This window comes from Homo sapiens, chromosome 9, assembly GCF_000001405.40.
Source record: "Homo sapiens chromosome 9, GRCh38.p14 Primary Assembly".
NCBI classification, from domain to species: Eukaryota; Metazoa; Chordata; class Mammalia; order Primates; family Hominidae; genus Homo; species Homo sapiens.
Window position 1 is genome coordinate 33,906,230 of NC_000009.12, and position 15,305 is coordinate 33,921,534.

General features: G+C 43.4%; 1 protein-coding gene across 5 annotated transcripts in view; it reads left to right on the forward strand.

The window, feature by feature from the left end:
• The window catches only part of UBE2R2 (ubiquitin conjugating enzyme E2 R2), a 105,232-nt gene extending 91,062 nt beyond the window's left edge, over nt 1-14,170 (forward strand). For 3 of the 5 annotated variants that reach the window (XM_047423541.1, NM_017811.4, XM_005251496.3), the window contains 2 exons: nt 5,735-5,869; nt 10,789-14,170. In XM_047423541.1, the coding sequence (XP_047279497.1) occupies nt 5,735-5,869; nt 10,789-11,008 (355 nt within the window). In that variant the 3' untranslated portion in view covers nt 11,009-14,170. The remainder of the gene's footprint in view (nt 1-5,734; nt 5,870-10,788) is intronic. The other 2 variants (XM_011517949.2, XM_017014860.2) reach the window with 1 other exon arrangement.
• The last annotated feature ends 1,135 nt before the right edge of the window (nt 14,171-15,305 follow it).

The following is a 15,305-nucleotide window of genomic DNA, read 5'->3' on the forward strand; positions in this document are numbered from 1 at the left end:
CTCCTGCCTCAGCCTCCCAAGTACTTGGGATTACAGGCATGCACCACCATGCCCAGCTGATTTTGTATTTTTAGTAGAGACAGGATTTTTCCGTGTTAGTCGGGCTGATCTTGAACTCCCAACCTCAGGTGATCCGCCCACCTCGGCCTCCCAAAGTGCTGGGATTATACTTGTGAGCCACCACACCTGGCATAAGCTTAGATTTTTTGGTTTTTAGGAATAAGCCCTTTCTACTTCTCCCATGCTGTCTGGAGGGATGATATATACATGGGAGGTGGGACCAGGGGAAGGTGCCAGTCTGTAATCCTTCAAAATTATGAACTTTTCTTGCTTGGTTTCCAGGCAGACCCTCGAGCCAGGTCTTATTTGTGATGCTAGGGCTATCACAACCCTGTTAAAGTTATGCTTATGGTGACATAGTAGCTAACAGAGAAAGGGTTATCGACATGTTGAAAATGGGCAAATGGAGTATTACGCATTGGGTCATACAATCCTAATTTCCAATTTCCCTTAAATACTTCTTTAGGCCAGGCGCAGTGGCTCATGTCCTTAATCCTAGCAACTTGGGAGGCCAAGGCAGGTGGATTGCTTGAGCCCAGGAGTTCAAAACCAGCCTGGGCAACATGACGAGATTCCATCTCTACCAAAAAAATTAGCCAGGCATGGTAGTGTGCACCTGTAGTCCCAGCTACTCAGGAGGCTGAGGTGCAAAGATCACTTGAGCCCAAGTGGTCAAGGCTTCAGTGAGCTGTAATTCTGCCACTGCACTGGAGCCTGGGGGCCGGGTGAGACCCAAGTTTGCTTTGTCTTTTAAACACATATGAGCTCTGCAGAACTTCACAGCTTGATTTGCTGTTGGCTAGTCTGCAATATATATTATATATGATGTGTTGGTCTTCATTTTCTTTGAGGGTTTTTATTGTTTACAAACTTATTTTTTATTCAGAACAAGATAGCTAAATAACCTCTGACCAAAGATAACTGAAGCAGGCAAAAGGATCTGAAATATGAACCTCAAGACTGTAAAGTGAGGTGCTTTTGCCTGTCCTTTTTTTCTGTGTTTCCTTTCTCTTCTTAGCATTTTTCTCTTTTGGCCTAGATCCTCTATCCTGAAAAGACCTATCTTATTGCCTCGCTGTGGCATAAAGAGGGGCAGAAGGAGCACATTTATTTCTGGGAGTATCTCTAACTCCTTGAATGGTGGCAGTGGGAATTGTGTAATGAACCACAGAGACTAAGAACTCTCTGGCCCTCATTCTTATCCCAAATTCCCTCTAGGTCTGTTCTTTGTTGTAATAAATGTTAAACATGTATTCTGCTGGATTGAGATAGATCAGATCTGTTCCTCTAGACGTGGAGTAGAGAAGGGTGGTGCACCAGTGTGTTCTTGTGGAGGGGCGGGGAAAGCAAAGGGTACTACAGTTATTCTTTATAGGAACCGAGAGTCTGGGGATGATGGGCCCTCAGGGTCTATTTTGCTAGTCCAACCTCTTGTTTCTCCTGAGAAAATACAGTAAATGAATAAGGATTTTAAACACTTAAACTCATTTTTTAAACAAAAAAATGAGCTAGCAGTTGAAATAGTTTTTTGTTTTGTTTTGTTGTTGTTTTTTTTTAAGACAGAGTTTCGCTCTTGTTGCCCAGGCTGGAGTGCAATGGCACGATCTCGGCTCATTGCAACCTCCACCTCCCGGGTTCAAACGATTCTCCTGCCTCAGCCTTCCGAGTAGCTGGGATTATAGGTATGTGCCACTACACCTGGCTAATTTTTAGTAGAGACGGGGTTTCACCATGTTGCTTGGTCAGGCTGGTCTTGAACTCCCGACCTCAGGTGATCCGCCTGCCTCGGCCTCCCAAAGTACTGGGGTTACAGGTGTGAGCCACCGCACCCCGCCTGAAATAGTTCTTAAATTCAAATTCAATTTTGTGTATTCCAACAGTATTATCTCAGCAGTTTAGTTTTTTCCAGTTCACATCCATCCATCTGCCTGAGGAGACCAATGCTGTCAGCTTTCCTTATTCTCACAGGTGTCCATCTAATCAAGAATAGTTCCCACCAGGCTTCTGATTGGCCCAGGTTAGGTCACATGCATATCCTCAAATGCATCGCCATAACAACAGGGATGGAATCCTTTCAGCACTTGCTTGGTCTTATGTCTACTGCTGTAGGTAGGTAGGTTGTTTGTATAGGAGGTGTGGCACAATGGTAGGAGAAGGAGATTATTCCCCATACAAAAAAGAAAAAGAAAGATTCTGCTCTTCAGACAGAAAAAAGATCCTGCTCTTCAGACAGAAGAAAACTTACTGGGTTGACAGTTACCACTATATTAGTCTGCTGTATTACTCAGTGCCTCTTAAAACATCCTGGATTTTTAACTTAGGAGGACATGGAATTAGAATTTCTCATTTTGTTAGATATGGATGATTTACCATTTAAAAATTTGTTTCCCAATATACACATCATCTTAATACACAAGATGTAAGAAAACCAACTAGGTGAAAGTACTTGTGGGAATTTTTTCTTAATTCAAGTAATAGGATTCATCTAGATCTGTGTTGTCCAATGTGGTAGCCTCTAACTACATGAGGCTTTTTACATTTGAATTAAAATTAAATACTAGTCTGGCACAGTGGCATGCACCTGTAGTCCCAGCTACTTGGGAGGATGAGGCAGGATTATCACTTCAGCCCAGGAGTTTGAGGCTGTAGTGTGCTATGATCACGCCTATAAATAGCCTCTGTATTCCAGCCGGGGCAACATAGTGAGACCCTGTCTTTAAATAAATAAATAAATAAATATTAAAATTCACTTCCTCATTTGTGCAGGATACATTTCAAAGTGCTTAGTAGCTGCATGTGGCTAGTGGTTACTGTATTGCACAGCATAGGTTATACATTATCATCATCATCATCGTCGTCGTCATTGAAAGTTATTAGTACACAGTACTGATCTAGACAATTAAACCTATTTTTCTGGCTGGGCAAGGTGGCTCACGCCTGTAGTCCCACAATTTGGGAGGCTGAGGCAGGTGAATAACCTAAGGTCAGGAGTTTGAGACCACCCTGGCCAACATGGTGAAACCCATCTCTACTAAAGATACAAAAAAATTTGGCCAACTGTGGTGGCGCGCACCTGTAATCCTAGCTACTTGGGAGGCTGAGGCAGGGAAATCGCTTGAACCCGGGAGGCGGAGGTTGCAGTGAGCCAAGATCACACCATTGCACTCCAGCCTGGGCGACGAGTGAAACCCCATCTCAACAATCAATAAATAAAAATTTAAAAGCACTGTTTTTCCAGCTAGGAGCAGTGGCTCACACCTGAAATCCCAGTACTTAAGGAGTCCAAGGCAGGAATATTGCTTGAGCCCAGGAGTAGAGACGGGGTTTCACCATGTTAGCCAGGATGGTCTCGATCTCCTTACCTTGTGATCTGCCCACCTCGGCCTCCCAAAGTGCTGGCATTACAGGCGTGAGCCACCACGCCTGGGCTTCTTCGATTCTTTTTAATGTAATTACTGAAGAAATCCAGAAAGCTCTTGAGGGAGGAAGGCCAAGGAGTTATCCTTAACCTAATAGGAGCATGTGTGATCAATGGATTTTAATTAGATAGAAATGTTTTCTTTGAAAATGCCTTTGTCATAATCTTGTATAAAATCATGTAACAGAAATTCTTCGCCTTTTTAAGGAAAAGTTTTCATCAAATCAAACATCTAATTGCCTGGTTTCCTCCCTTTATTTTTGGCTTGGGGCCCAGAGCAAAAGGGTATTTTACAACAACACAATCTCTAACCTTTCATCAATGAGAAAAGATAGAGAAATTTCATTTTTCCTCCCATTTTCTCCTAATGCACATAATTTTTAGGGGGAAAAAGCCTAGGAGTAATTTGGAACAGTTTTGGAGCCTATTACGCTTTTATTTATTTATTTATTTTTGAGATGGAGTCTTGCTCTGTTGCCCATGCTGGAGTACAGTGGCGTGATCTCAGCTCACTGCAGCCTCCGCCTCCCGTGCCCAAGCAATTCTCTTGCCTGTCTCAGCCTCCCGAGTAGCTGGGATTACAGGCGCCTGCTACCACACCTGGCTAATTTTTGTATTTTTAGTAGAGACGGGGTTTCACCGTGTTGGCCAGGATGGTCTCAAACTCCTGACCTCATGATCTGCCTGCCTCAGCCTCCCAAAGTGCTGGGATTACAGGTGTGAGCCACTGCACCTGGCCCCTATTATGCTTTCTAACATAAACTTTATTCCCTGATTATTTGGAATGTCTAATTTTTATCTGTGGATGAAAATTGGCCGTTTGTAACACCCACTAGATTTGTAAGCCATGGGAGACCAGGGATGGCATCTAACTTGCTCACCATTGTACATCCAGCATCTCACTTGGTGCCTCTGGCACACAGTAGGTACATAGTAAATACTTTTGAATAAAGATTTCTATTATTCAGAGACTCTAGTTCTTCTGTTTGAAGGATTTTGCTTTTCCTCCATTCTCCTGCATTACTCTGTCTTCCTTCCAAGTATGGAAAAAATACATTTGGATGTAGCACTGTTTTTCAGGTTAAGAGGCCACAATAAAAACTGGTTATATAGGGCCAGGTGCGGTGGCTCATGCCTGTAATCCCAGCACTTTGGGAGGCCAAGGCGGGCAGTTCACTTAAGGCCAGGAGTTCATGACCAGCCTGGCCAACATGGCGAAACCCTGTCCCTACTAAAAATACAAAAATTAGCCAGGCGTGGTAGTACAATGCCTGTAATCCCAGCTACTCAGGAGGCTGAGACAGGAGAATTACTTGAACCCAGGAGGCAGAGGTTACAGTGAGCTGAGATGGCACCACTGCACTCCAGCCTGGGTGACAGAGCAAGACCCTGTCAAAAAACAAAACAAAACAAAAAAACGGCCGGGCGTAGTGGCTCATGCTTTTAATCGTAGCACTTTGGGAGGTTGAGGAGGGCGGATCACCTGAGGTCAGGAGTTCAAGACCAGTCTGACCAACATGGAGAAACCCCATCTCTACTAAAAATACAAAATTAGCAGGGCATGGTGGCAGGCGCCTGTAATCCCAGCTACTCGGGAGGCTGAGGCAGGCAGGAGAATCGCTTGAACCTGGGATGTGGAGGTTGCGATCACACCATTGCACTCCAGCCTGGGGAACAAGAGTGAAACTCCATCTCAAAAAAAAAAAAAAAAAAAAAAAAAAAAAAAAACCTGGTTATATAGAATAGCATCATTTTTACCAGCTCCCACATCAAGATTGCCTTGAAACTAAATATTTTAAGCTTTTTCCCCCATGCCATTTAATTTGTAATTTTTAAAATAAACAGTATTTGAAAGCTTCTAAGACATCTGCTTTCTGTAGGTTGGAACATGTGACCAGTTGAAACAGGGCCTTCTATCAAGTTCATTTTTATGCTTTGTGCATTACCCTTATACTAGAATCACTTGTGCATTACCCTTATACTAGAATCACAGATTTCCTCTGCTTTGCCTGCCAGTTAGCAGCTTGTTTCTTAGTGCTGAAAAAAATTTTTTTTTATTTTTCTTAAATGCCTTTTATGAAAACTATCAATAAAAAATTTATATCTCTATTCCCCCAAGGTCTTAAATTTAATTGTATCAGAAAAATTTTAAGGGAGGGAGAATTTGAAATCTGATTGTACTATCTTAAAAAGCAGAATACTTTTAAATACTGTAAATATGGGTATTCATAGCTGATCCTTTTTTCCTGTTTCTAGGACTATCCTATTAAGTGTAATCTCACTGCTTAATGAGCCCAACACCTTCTCCCCAGCCAATGTCGATGCTTCAGTTATGTTCAGGAAATGGAGAGACAGTAAAGGAAAAGACAAAGAATATGCTGAAATTATTAGGTAAGGTTTTTTTTTTTATTACCTCAAGTTATACAAAACCAAAATATATTCTGGAACCAAGGGTTTAAATCAAACTTAAATATCCTGTCCATTCCAGGATAATTTTCCTCTATTAGATTTATAGTGTGGGAAGAGAAGATTTCTGCCTGAGCCTAAAGAACTTTGCTGTTTACCGAGAGAACAGCCACTAGAAGATAAGGCAGTAGCAGACCTGATTTTCTAGGAACCAGAACTTCTAGGTTCTGGCCAGGCATGGTGGCTCATGCCTGTAATCCCAGCACTTTGGGAGGCTGAGGCAGGCGGATCACCTGAGGTCAGGAGTTCGAGACCGGCTGGCCAACATGGTGAAACCCTGTCTCTACTAAAAATACAAAAATTAGCCAGGTGTGGTGGTGCACACCTGTCATCCCAGCTACTCAGGAGGCTGAGGCAGGAGAATTGCTTGAACCCGGGAGTTGAATGTTGCAGTGAGCTGAGATCACACCACTGCACTCCAGCCTGGGCGACAGTGCGAGACTCCATCTCAAAAAAAAAAAAAAATTGAATAAATAAAGCCTTCCAGTTTATTGGCATTCCTGACCATAGCAGCAAGGATTGTTTGGAAATCCTCATTATCAGCAACACTAATGTATGGTATAACAGAGCCCTAGAATAAGATTCAGGGGACTTGGAATCTACTCATGGGACCATTTATCAGATAATTTTTGGGGTCTTTTACTTTCTCCTCTGTATAAAATGGAAAAAAGCTTAACCTTTAATCTCTTAGGACATCAGGTTCTTATAATAGTACCCAAGAAATTTGCAATAAATACAAACCCTACACTTCCCCTACCCTCCACCTCTTTTTTATTTGTTTCTAATTAATTTTTTTTTTCTTTTTGAGATGGAGTCTTACTCTGTCATCCAGGCCGGAGTGCAGTGGTGTGATCTCGGCTCACTGCAGCCTCTATCTCCTGGGTTCAAGCAATTCTCCTGCCTCAGCCTCCCGAGTAGCTGGGATTATAGGCGCCTACCACCATGCCCAGCTAATTTTTGGATTTTTAGTAGTGACAGGGTTTCACCATGTTGGCCAAGCTAGTCTCGAACTCCTGACCTCATGATCCACCCGCCTTGGCCTCCCAAAGTGCTGGAATTACAGGCGTGAGCCACTGCACTCAGCCTCCTCCACCTCTTTTTAAAGAAACAGACATGGTCTTACTCTGTTGCCTGGGCTGGAGTGCAATGGTGTGATTACATGGTAACTTCAAATTCCCGGGCTCAGGCAGTCCTCCCACCTGGGCCTCCTGAGTAACTAAGACTATAGGCATGCACCACCACACCCAGCTAATTTCTATTATTATTTTTGTAGAGATGAGGTCTTGCTGTGTTGCCCAGCCTGGTCTTGAACTCTTGGCCTCAAGTGATCCTCCTGCCTCAGCCTCCCAAAGCTCTGGGATTATAGGTGTGAGCCACCGTGCCTGGCCTCCACCCCCCTTGATATTACATTTTTATTTCTTAAAATAGAGACCCCAAATACAGTTACAGCTTCCTCTGTGCATAGGAGTTGACTAAGCATTGGCATTTATACAAATAAGAATAAAATCTAGTTGGCTTGAGACCATGTGATATGAAAAAAGTTAAAACAATGCTGGGAAAGGACATGAGGTGACTGCTGAGTAATATAAAATCAGCAGTTCTAAGTTTTCTGCCCATTGGGATCACTTTTAAACTGTCCCTAAACAATAGCTGTCTTTTATGGGATTACAAGGACAGAGTTTGGGCATCTGTGTGTGTATATATATCTCACCTAGGTGACTGATGTGTACCAAACATTGAAGATAATTAGTAGAAATATTAAGATCCTACAGAAATTTAGAGGAGTGGGAGTGTACTAAGGATTGAAAGATCAGAAAGCTTAGGTATACATATTCCCAAGGTACTTCTATATATTTCTTAATTTGTTTAAGGGTCCGTTTATCTCATTCTATCTATTCCTTAATGACCTAGTACAGTACCTGACACTAAGCAACAGCTTTGTGTTAGGTACTCATTAAGGCATAGCCTGTCTCCTTAGGGAGCTCACTTTATTAGCATTTGAAAACAAATGACCATGTAGTATTATACCTATAGAAGCCTAAACAAGATACACTGGGAGAAATATATAATGTAATAGATTTCCTAGCAGAGATAATTCCTTATAACCAATACTTTTTCAGGTGAAAAAAGGGAAAATACCCATGTTTGCTAAAATACAGGAGTATAACAGCATGACATGTTAAGGGGATTACAAATGCTTGAGTGTAAATTCTGATGTGGGAAATATTAGAAAATTAAGCAAGAGAGGCACCAGGGTCTTCAAAGACATTGAAGTCATGATAAGAGTATGGTTCTTAATGTAAGAAGTGATGGGGTACCACTTAAATATTTTTGGGAGGGAAGAGGTGATGCTATTTGAGTTCTGATAAAAGAATTGGCTGCCTGGTGTGGTAGCTCACACCTGTAATCCCAACATTTTGAGGCGGGTGGATCACCTGAGGTCAAGAGTTCGAGACCAACCTGGCCAACATGGTGAAATCCCATCTCTACCAAAAAATATAAAAGTTAGTTGGGCATAGTGGCACACACCTGTAATCCCAGCTACTCGGGAGGCTGAAGGCAAGAGAATTGCTTGAACCCGGGAGGCAGAGGTTGCAGTGAGCTGAGATCGCGCCACTGCACTCCAGCCTGGGAAACAAAGCAAGACACCGTCTCAAAAGAAAAAAAAAAAAAAGACAGTCAGCTGGGCACAGTGGCTCACGCCTGTAATCCCAGGACTTTGGGAGGCCGAGGCGGGCAGATTGCTTGAGCCCAGGAGTTTGAGACAAGCCTGGGCAACATGGCAAAATACCATCTCTACAAAAAAATTAGCCAGGAGAGGTGGCTTATACCTGTAATCCCAGCTACTTGGGAGTCTGAGGTGGGAGGATTGCTTGAGCTCTGGAGCCAGAGGTTGCAATGAGCTGAGATTGCGTCACTGTGCTCTAGCCTGGGTGACAGTGGGAGACCTTGTCTCAAAAAAAAAAAAAAAATCAAATAGTTGGCCAGGGGACCAACATGGACTAAACTGAGGTAGTAGTAATGGGGATGAGGGGACAGATATAAAAATATTTAAGCTGTAAAGCAATAGGTCTTTGGAGTGAGATTTATTATTTTAAGAAGCAATGCTCATTTATTCAGAGAAGTAAAATGGGAGAAACTGTCCATAGAGGTAGAAAATGCATATGCAGTCTACCTCTGCATATGGAACATTAGGACAGAGGCTTCCAAAAGGCATTTGTTTATATAAGCCAAGAGCTGTCAGCATAAAGGGAGTGGTGGTTAAAATTATGGGAACAGAGATGATGTCCCAGGGAGAGTGCTGAGAGTGTGGAGATTGAAGCCCAGAAGCCTCAGGACCATCAATATTCAAAGCAAGGCAACAGAAGAAAAGCTTCAAGCACAACTAAGAGATTGACATTAGGAAGATCAGGAAGAGTGGTCTAGTCTTGATGACTCAAATTTTTATAATTGTTGAAGGAAACAATTTATTGTTTGTTCATTCATACAATCAGTATTTATTGCACACCTCTTATGTGCCAGGCTATGTGCTAGGCACTGACTGGGGAAATGGGACTAAGAAAGACATTTACGCTCACATTCAAATATGTGGAGACAGAAGAGTGAGCAAGCAAAAAATACTAGATAGTGCTAAGTAGGATAATGTGAAAGAATGACTAGATGGCTGCTTTAAATTGGGTTGTCAGGCCAGGCCTTCTCTAAGGTGATATTTAAGCCTTAATATCTGAGGCCGTGATTCTGAGTGACAGGAAGGAGCCAGGCATGTGTGGGGCAGGGGAAGAGCAACTGGTCCAGACAGAAAAATCAACAAGGTGTGTCCGAGATGCCAAAAAAAGACCAGGGTGAATGTGTTGAAGGGCTGGAGAAAATACAAGAGTGGGTCATGTGGCCGGGTGCAGTGGCTCATGCCTGTAATCCCAACACTTTGGGAAGCCGAGGTGGGCAGATCATGAGGCCAGGAGTTCGAGACCAGCCTGGCCAACATGGTGAAACCCCATCTCTACTAAAAATACAAAATTTAGCCCGGTGGGGTGGCGGGAGCCTGTAATCTCAGCTACTTGGGAGGCTGAGGCAGGAGAATTGCTTGAACCTGGGAGATGGAGGTTGCAGTGGGCCGAGATCACGCCGCTGCACTCCAGCCTGGGTGACAGAGCAAGACTCCGTCTTGGGTGGGGAAGAGTGGGTCGTGCAAGACACTGGAATCTGGCATAGGCATTTGAATTTTACTGTCAGTGAAAATTAAGAGGATAATTAAATTAAGAATTGTTGGGGCACTTGAGTTTGGTGGTGAGGTGACTAGGCCAAAACCCTAGCCAATCCCCTAAGCACCCCACCCCACATTAAACCAGAGTGGGACGTTTTATTCACATATGCAACCTTTATGATCTAGCCCCAAGAAACTAGGAGGCGTATTAGCCCTTCTATTATCTATTCTTATTCTGGCAGTTATCCCTGTGCTTCACACATGCAAACAACAAAGCATGACATTCCGCCCACTAAGTCAATACCTGTTCTGATTCTTAAGTCGCCGACCTATTGGCCCTTACATGAATCGGAGGACAGCCAGTTGACGAGGTGATTCTGGCTATAATTGATCCACTGCTTTAAACTCCCTTGATATTAACAGTGTATTTCCCCTCCTAAAAAGTCAAAGTTTACTTCAAAATTGTACCCAGTGGGTTGAAAGCATTTGGTGTAGTACAGGGTATCTGTCAGATGCTTTCAGGCAGGTACTGAAGTTTGGAGAGCTGAGTCATAAGTAATATTGATTATTTAAGGCCAATTATAAATCTGTCTTAAAAAAAGACTTACCGTAAACCATTTCTGTGTCAACCTCCCTTCAGGAAACAAGTTTCAGCCACTAAGGCCGAAGCAGAAAAGGATGGAGTGAAGGTCCCCACAACCCTGGCGGAATACTGCATCAAAACTAAAGTGCCTTCCAATGACAACAGCTCAGATTTGCTTTACGACGACTTGTATGATGACGACATTGATGATGAAGATGAGGAGGAGGAAGATGCCGACTGTTATGATGATGATGATTCTGGGAATGAGGAGTCGTGACGTGCTCCTTCAGTGCCCCTGTACTGCCCTGCCATCTCAGGCCAAAGGGAGGGGAGCAAGTGGGGACCTGGCCATGGCCCCTCAGCAAAAACCTATTCACAGCGGGTGGGGAAACACACACAGCTCCTGCTGACTCCCCTTATGGATCTCAGTTTGCTCCTTTTTATGGACCTTTAATGGAGAGAGAGTAACCCTCCACAGAATGTCTGAATTCTTGCATTCTTTACCCTTCCATCACTATATTGATTCTTTTTTTAAAAAATATGAACCCAAACTCCCGCCTCACTTCGTCTCTACAGAATGTTCACAGCAAAACACGTTTGGTCTGTTTTTAGATTCTTGAAGAATTCAATAGTCTTTCAAGATGTTTAATGTGTTTAAAGCTGGGAACCTGTTGGGAGTTCACAAGTGCTGCATATACTGGGTAGCAAAAGAAAATGGAAAAAAACCCACAAAACAAACTTTAAAAAAAAAAAAAAACAAATTTGCCAAGGTTTAGCTGCTCATTTACATTAGTGTGTGTGCATTCGTTCAGCCCCATGGTGGTGAATTCTGTTTCTTTCCTTTCCTAAGGCTGGGACATGGTGGGCATCAGGGACTTTGTGCTAAGCCTGATGAAATGTGCTCCTTCAATCTCCATGAAACCATCGTAACATGGAGGCCTCAGCTGCTCTGAGGAGAGAAATCAGACTTTGTTTTTTGAAATCGATTGGGATCGAAAGCCTGAAATAAATATTCATACTTTCCATAGAACTGAGCACTTGGTTGCTATTTATTTTAAAGGCAGGGTTATTTCCCCCCAGGGAGTGGGGCAAGCGGGGAAGTTGGGATGAGTGCGTGTGGGAGCAAAGAGTTAAAAATCACTATGCTAAGTTTGGTTGATGCTACTGGGGGGAAAAAGTTGAAACTACTGGTGACCACTGTTGGGAGAGGAAACATCTGTTTTATAGATTTAGCATGGCCTTCCCATCAAAAATACACTCGTACCATGACGTTTTGTTTTTGTTTTTTAAGTAGCCACTTTTAATTACTCAGTATTAATCCTAGGTGCATGTGTTAAGATTTCGGTTTTCATCGAGCTGCTTATACTGATAGTGAAAAACTTGGATGTGTGTGAGACGAGTTACCGCCTTCTTCATTGGATGTGATCTGAACTTTTTTTCTCCTTTCAACATACTTAGGCTGTGGAGTGCAAGCAGAATTATGCATAGAAATTGTGGCAGGGCTGAGGGAGTTGACTGCAGGCAGTTTTTAGGCCAGATAAGGCTAGATCTTCCTGCAATGCACTTGCTGCAGCTTTGATTTTCCAGATCTCAATCGTGTTGCTTCAATCAATATTGAGATCCAGCAGCCTTCACCATCCAGGAGACTTCAGAACTTGAAGGTAATTTTTGGTTGTTATGGGGGTGCACCAGATCATAGGAGGGCATTATTTGGAGGAAACCGCTATAATGTAAAATCAGATTTCAGAAGGAAAATGCAGCAAGGACTGACTGTAGTCCTATTTCAGACCCCTGGGCACTAGTGTCAACTCCTCCTTTGGCTCGTAACTCAGAAAGAACCAAAGGGCAGATTAGGGACGGGGCAGGAGGGATCCTAGGATGGCCAGAGTAGGTGACGCTTACTTCCTTAGCTCCTCCTTCCATTCTGATCTCAGGGTTTTCACTCTTCAAACTCCCAAACACATGACTTCTTCCCAGCAGCCCTTCCCGGCCTCTAAAGTTTGGTCCCAGCAGCCCTTCCCAGCCTCTAAAGTTTGGTCTGGTATGAAATGGGACTGTTTAACAAGCAAGGCTCTTAGGGGACACTGTTGAGCCTGGTCCCAGAATCTGTGATCTCCACAGGGCCAGGGTTGCTACTTGCACCCAGAATCTAGTGATTTTAGTCAGATCCATGGAACAGAGCAGCTTCGTAATACATTGTCAAGTTACCTGATTACAAACTCTCATAGATGTTGGAACTACCTTTTTACTCCCCATACTTTGTAAGTAATGCTTCCAGATTAACCTGCAAATCTTGTGGAGCCAAAGCCTCTCACAGTGCTGATTTACCTCCCCCAAAATGCCCCCAAACCCCCATGCAAGTTTACAGCCAGTAGCTTGGTCTTATTCTCTTGGAGCCCTAAAATTAAGCCTTTCATTCCCCTTTGCTAAAGCATCTCACTCCCAGGGCAGCCCCAGCACCCTGGCATTGCGGGAGGTGCTCTGCTGCACAGCTGTTCCATCAGGCCCTATTGGCCTCTGTTAGACATTGACTCAGGGAGCCGGAGCGCCAAGTGGAGGTTGTACCTTTCAGCCCTTTGGGGTGTTAAAAGTGTCAAGGGCTGGGTTTGCCTCTGATGAGTACAATCAGTTCCAGAAGACTGGGTAAGTCTCTTGCTAGCAGGTGGACATTCTGGTATTTTAGACTGACTGAACGAAACCCAGAGGCTGGTTCCAGAGCTCTGTCCCTGAGAACACATCCCTGTGGAAAATACTTGAGTTTGTAATTTTTTTTCCCCCTTCTGGGAGTGGAGGTCTCAGGCTCAATCCGGAACCATGTACGTACAGTTTTGCTTATTATTTGATGTGACATGAACTCAAAATCCTGCATTTTTAGATTCCTTTTAGTTCTAATTGAGGCCTCACTAGATGCTCTTCAGTTCTGTGTATTTTGAGGCTGGGTGGAGAAGTATATGATTCTGCTGTTGATTCTTTCAGTCTTCCCCCCTTCTCCTTTTATCAATCATTCCAGAGTTATTTTCTATTAGTCAAACTTTTTTGTAGAACCTTCTTTCCCTTACCCTGGCAAATTGCTTCTTTACTTGCTGGTTTCCTTACGTTTGGGGCACATGTTGTAAGAAACTGATTGGAAGGGGAAATGTGCAGCTCTCCACTGGAAAGGAACTCTCCACCCCTCCCATCCTGATAAAACAAACAAGGTTTACATTTACAACTAAAAGGATTCAGATGCAATTTTCAACTATTCTGAAACCAGCAGGACACACCTGACTTTAATAGTTTTAGCTGAAATTGTAGATGTTTTGCTTCAGTTTAACTTATGAGAAAAGATTATCTGACGGATTTTGTGTTGACTTCCCCTTTAGTGGTTTATTTTGTCTTTTTCTGCCCATCTGTCTACTAATAAAATGTGAAATAAAATACCTGTATTGCTACTTCCCCATGAAATGACCCTCTTCTTTTTTTACCTTGTGTTAAAGAAAACTAAAAGGTGGTCTCATTATCACTGTTAAGTTTGCAGATTACGCTGGGGCTCAGCTGAAAAATTAGACAAAAACCAAAACTGGGGAATCTGCCTTTCTAACTAACTCACCTCCCTGGTGTATCCCCAGTCCCTTCAAGCTCCTTATAGACGTAGCCATTTGTTAAACTTGATTCTGAAAACGGGAGCTGATACAAGTAGGTCAGTGAAGGATTGAGGGGTGCTCTGCTGCTTTCCTTAGGCAAACATTTTCACTGTCATTTGTTTTCCTAACTTACTGCTGCTAATAGCAGGGATCAGGCAGATCACCCTATTTAATAAAAGTCCTAATTTTACCTGTAGACACTTACCTTTTTTCTAGGTAAGGTCCCAAGCTGTGGGTTAATAGGAGTATCGGTCCCATCTGATGACAGGACCATCGCTCTCAATTGTAGAGGCCAAAAGCAGAAAAAGTAGATTGTGACCCCAGGCTGGTTCTGACACAATCAATCAATCAATCACCTGACTAGCCATTTTATTTCCTCCTTTAACCTGATCTGAAGCAGCGATTTAGGAGTGAAAAGAGAGGCTGTAGCACCTTGGGCAACACTTCTAGGCCCTGAGCTTCCTGCCTGCTGGATTGGAGCACAGTTGTGGTTGGCCAACAGGAGATCTGCCTCCTTCCTATGGCCCTTGGTTACTCCCTGGCTTCTGACCTGACACAAGGTGAATGGTTGGTTGGGCTTTTCTGGAGCAGATATGTAGCCCCGGATCCACCAGCCTACCTCATGACACCCTCACTAGTCACGTGTTCTACCATAGCTTTTGACTGCCAATCAAGATTATGTTCAGTTGATGACAAGCAAAAGACAGGTATACCTGTTCATACTCTCCCTTAAGGCCTAGAACCCTGCTCTCAGTTCTTGGCTTTGCTTCAGATTGTAAAAGTCCACTGAGATTTGGAAAAGAAATTACCCTGCCCTGGTATCCAGTGGACAGGGCTCTGTGGGACACTGCCCTATCCCTAAGTCTCTTAAGGAGCTATAAGAAAAGCCAGGTTAACTTTGATCAACATGGCCTGGGCCCTGTAAGGAGGTTTAGCTGTCCTTACAGCCAT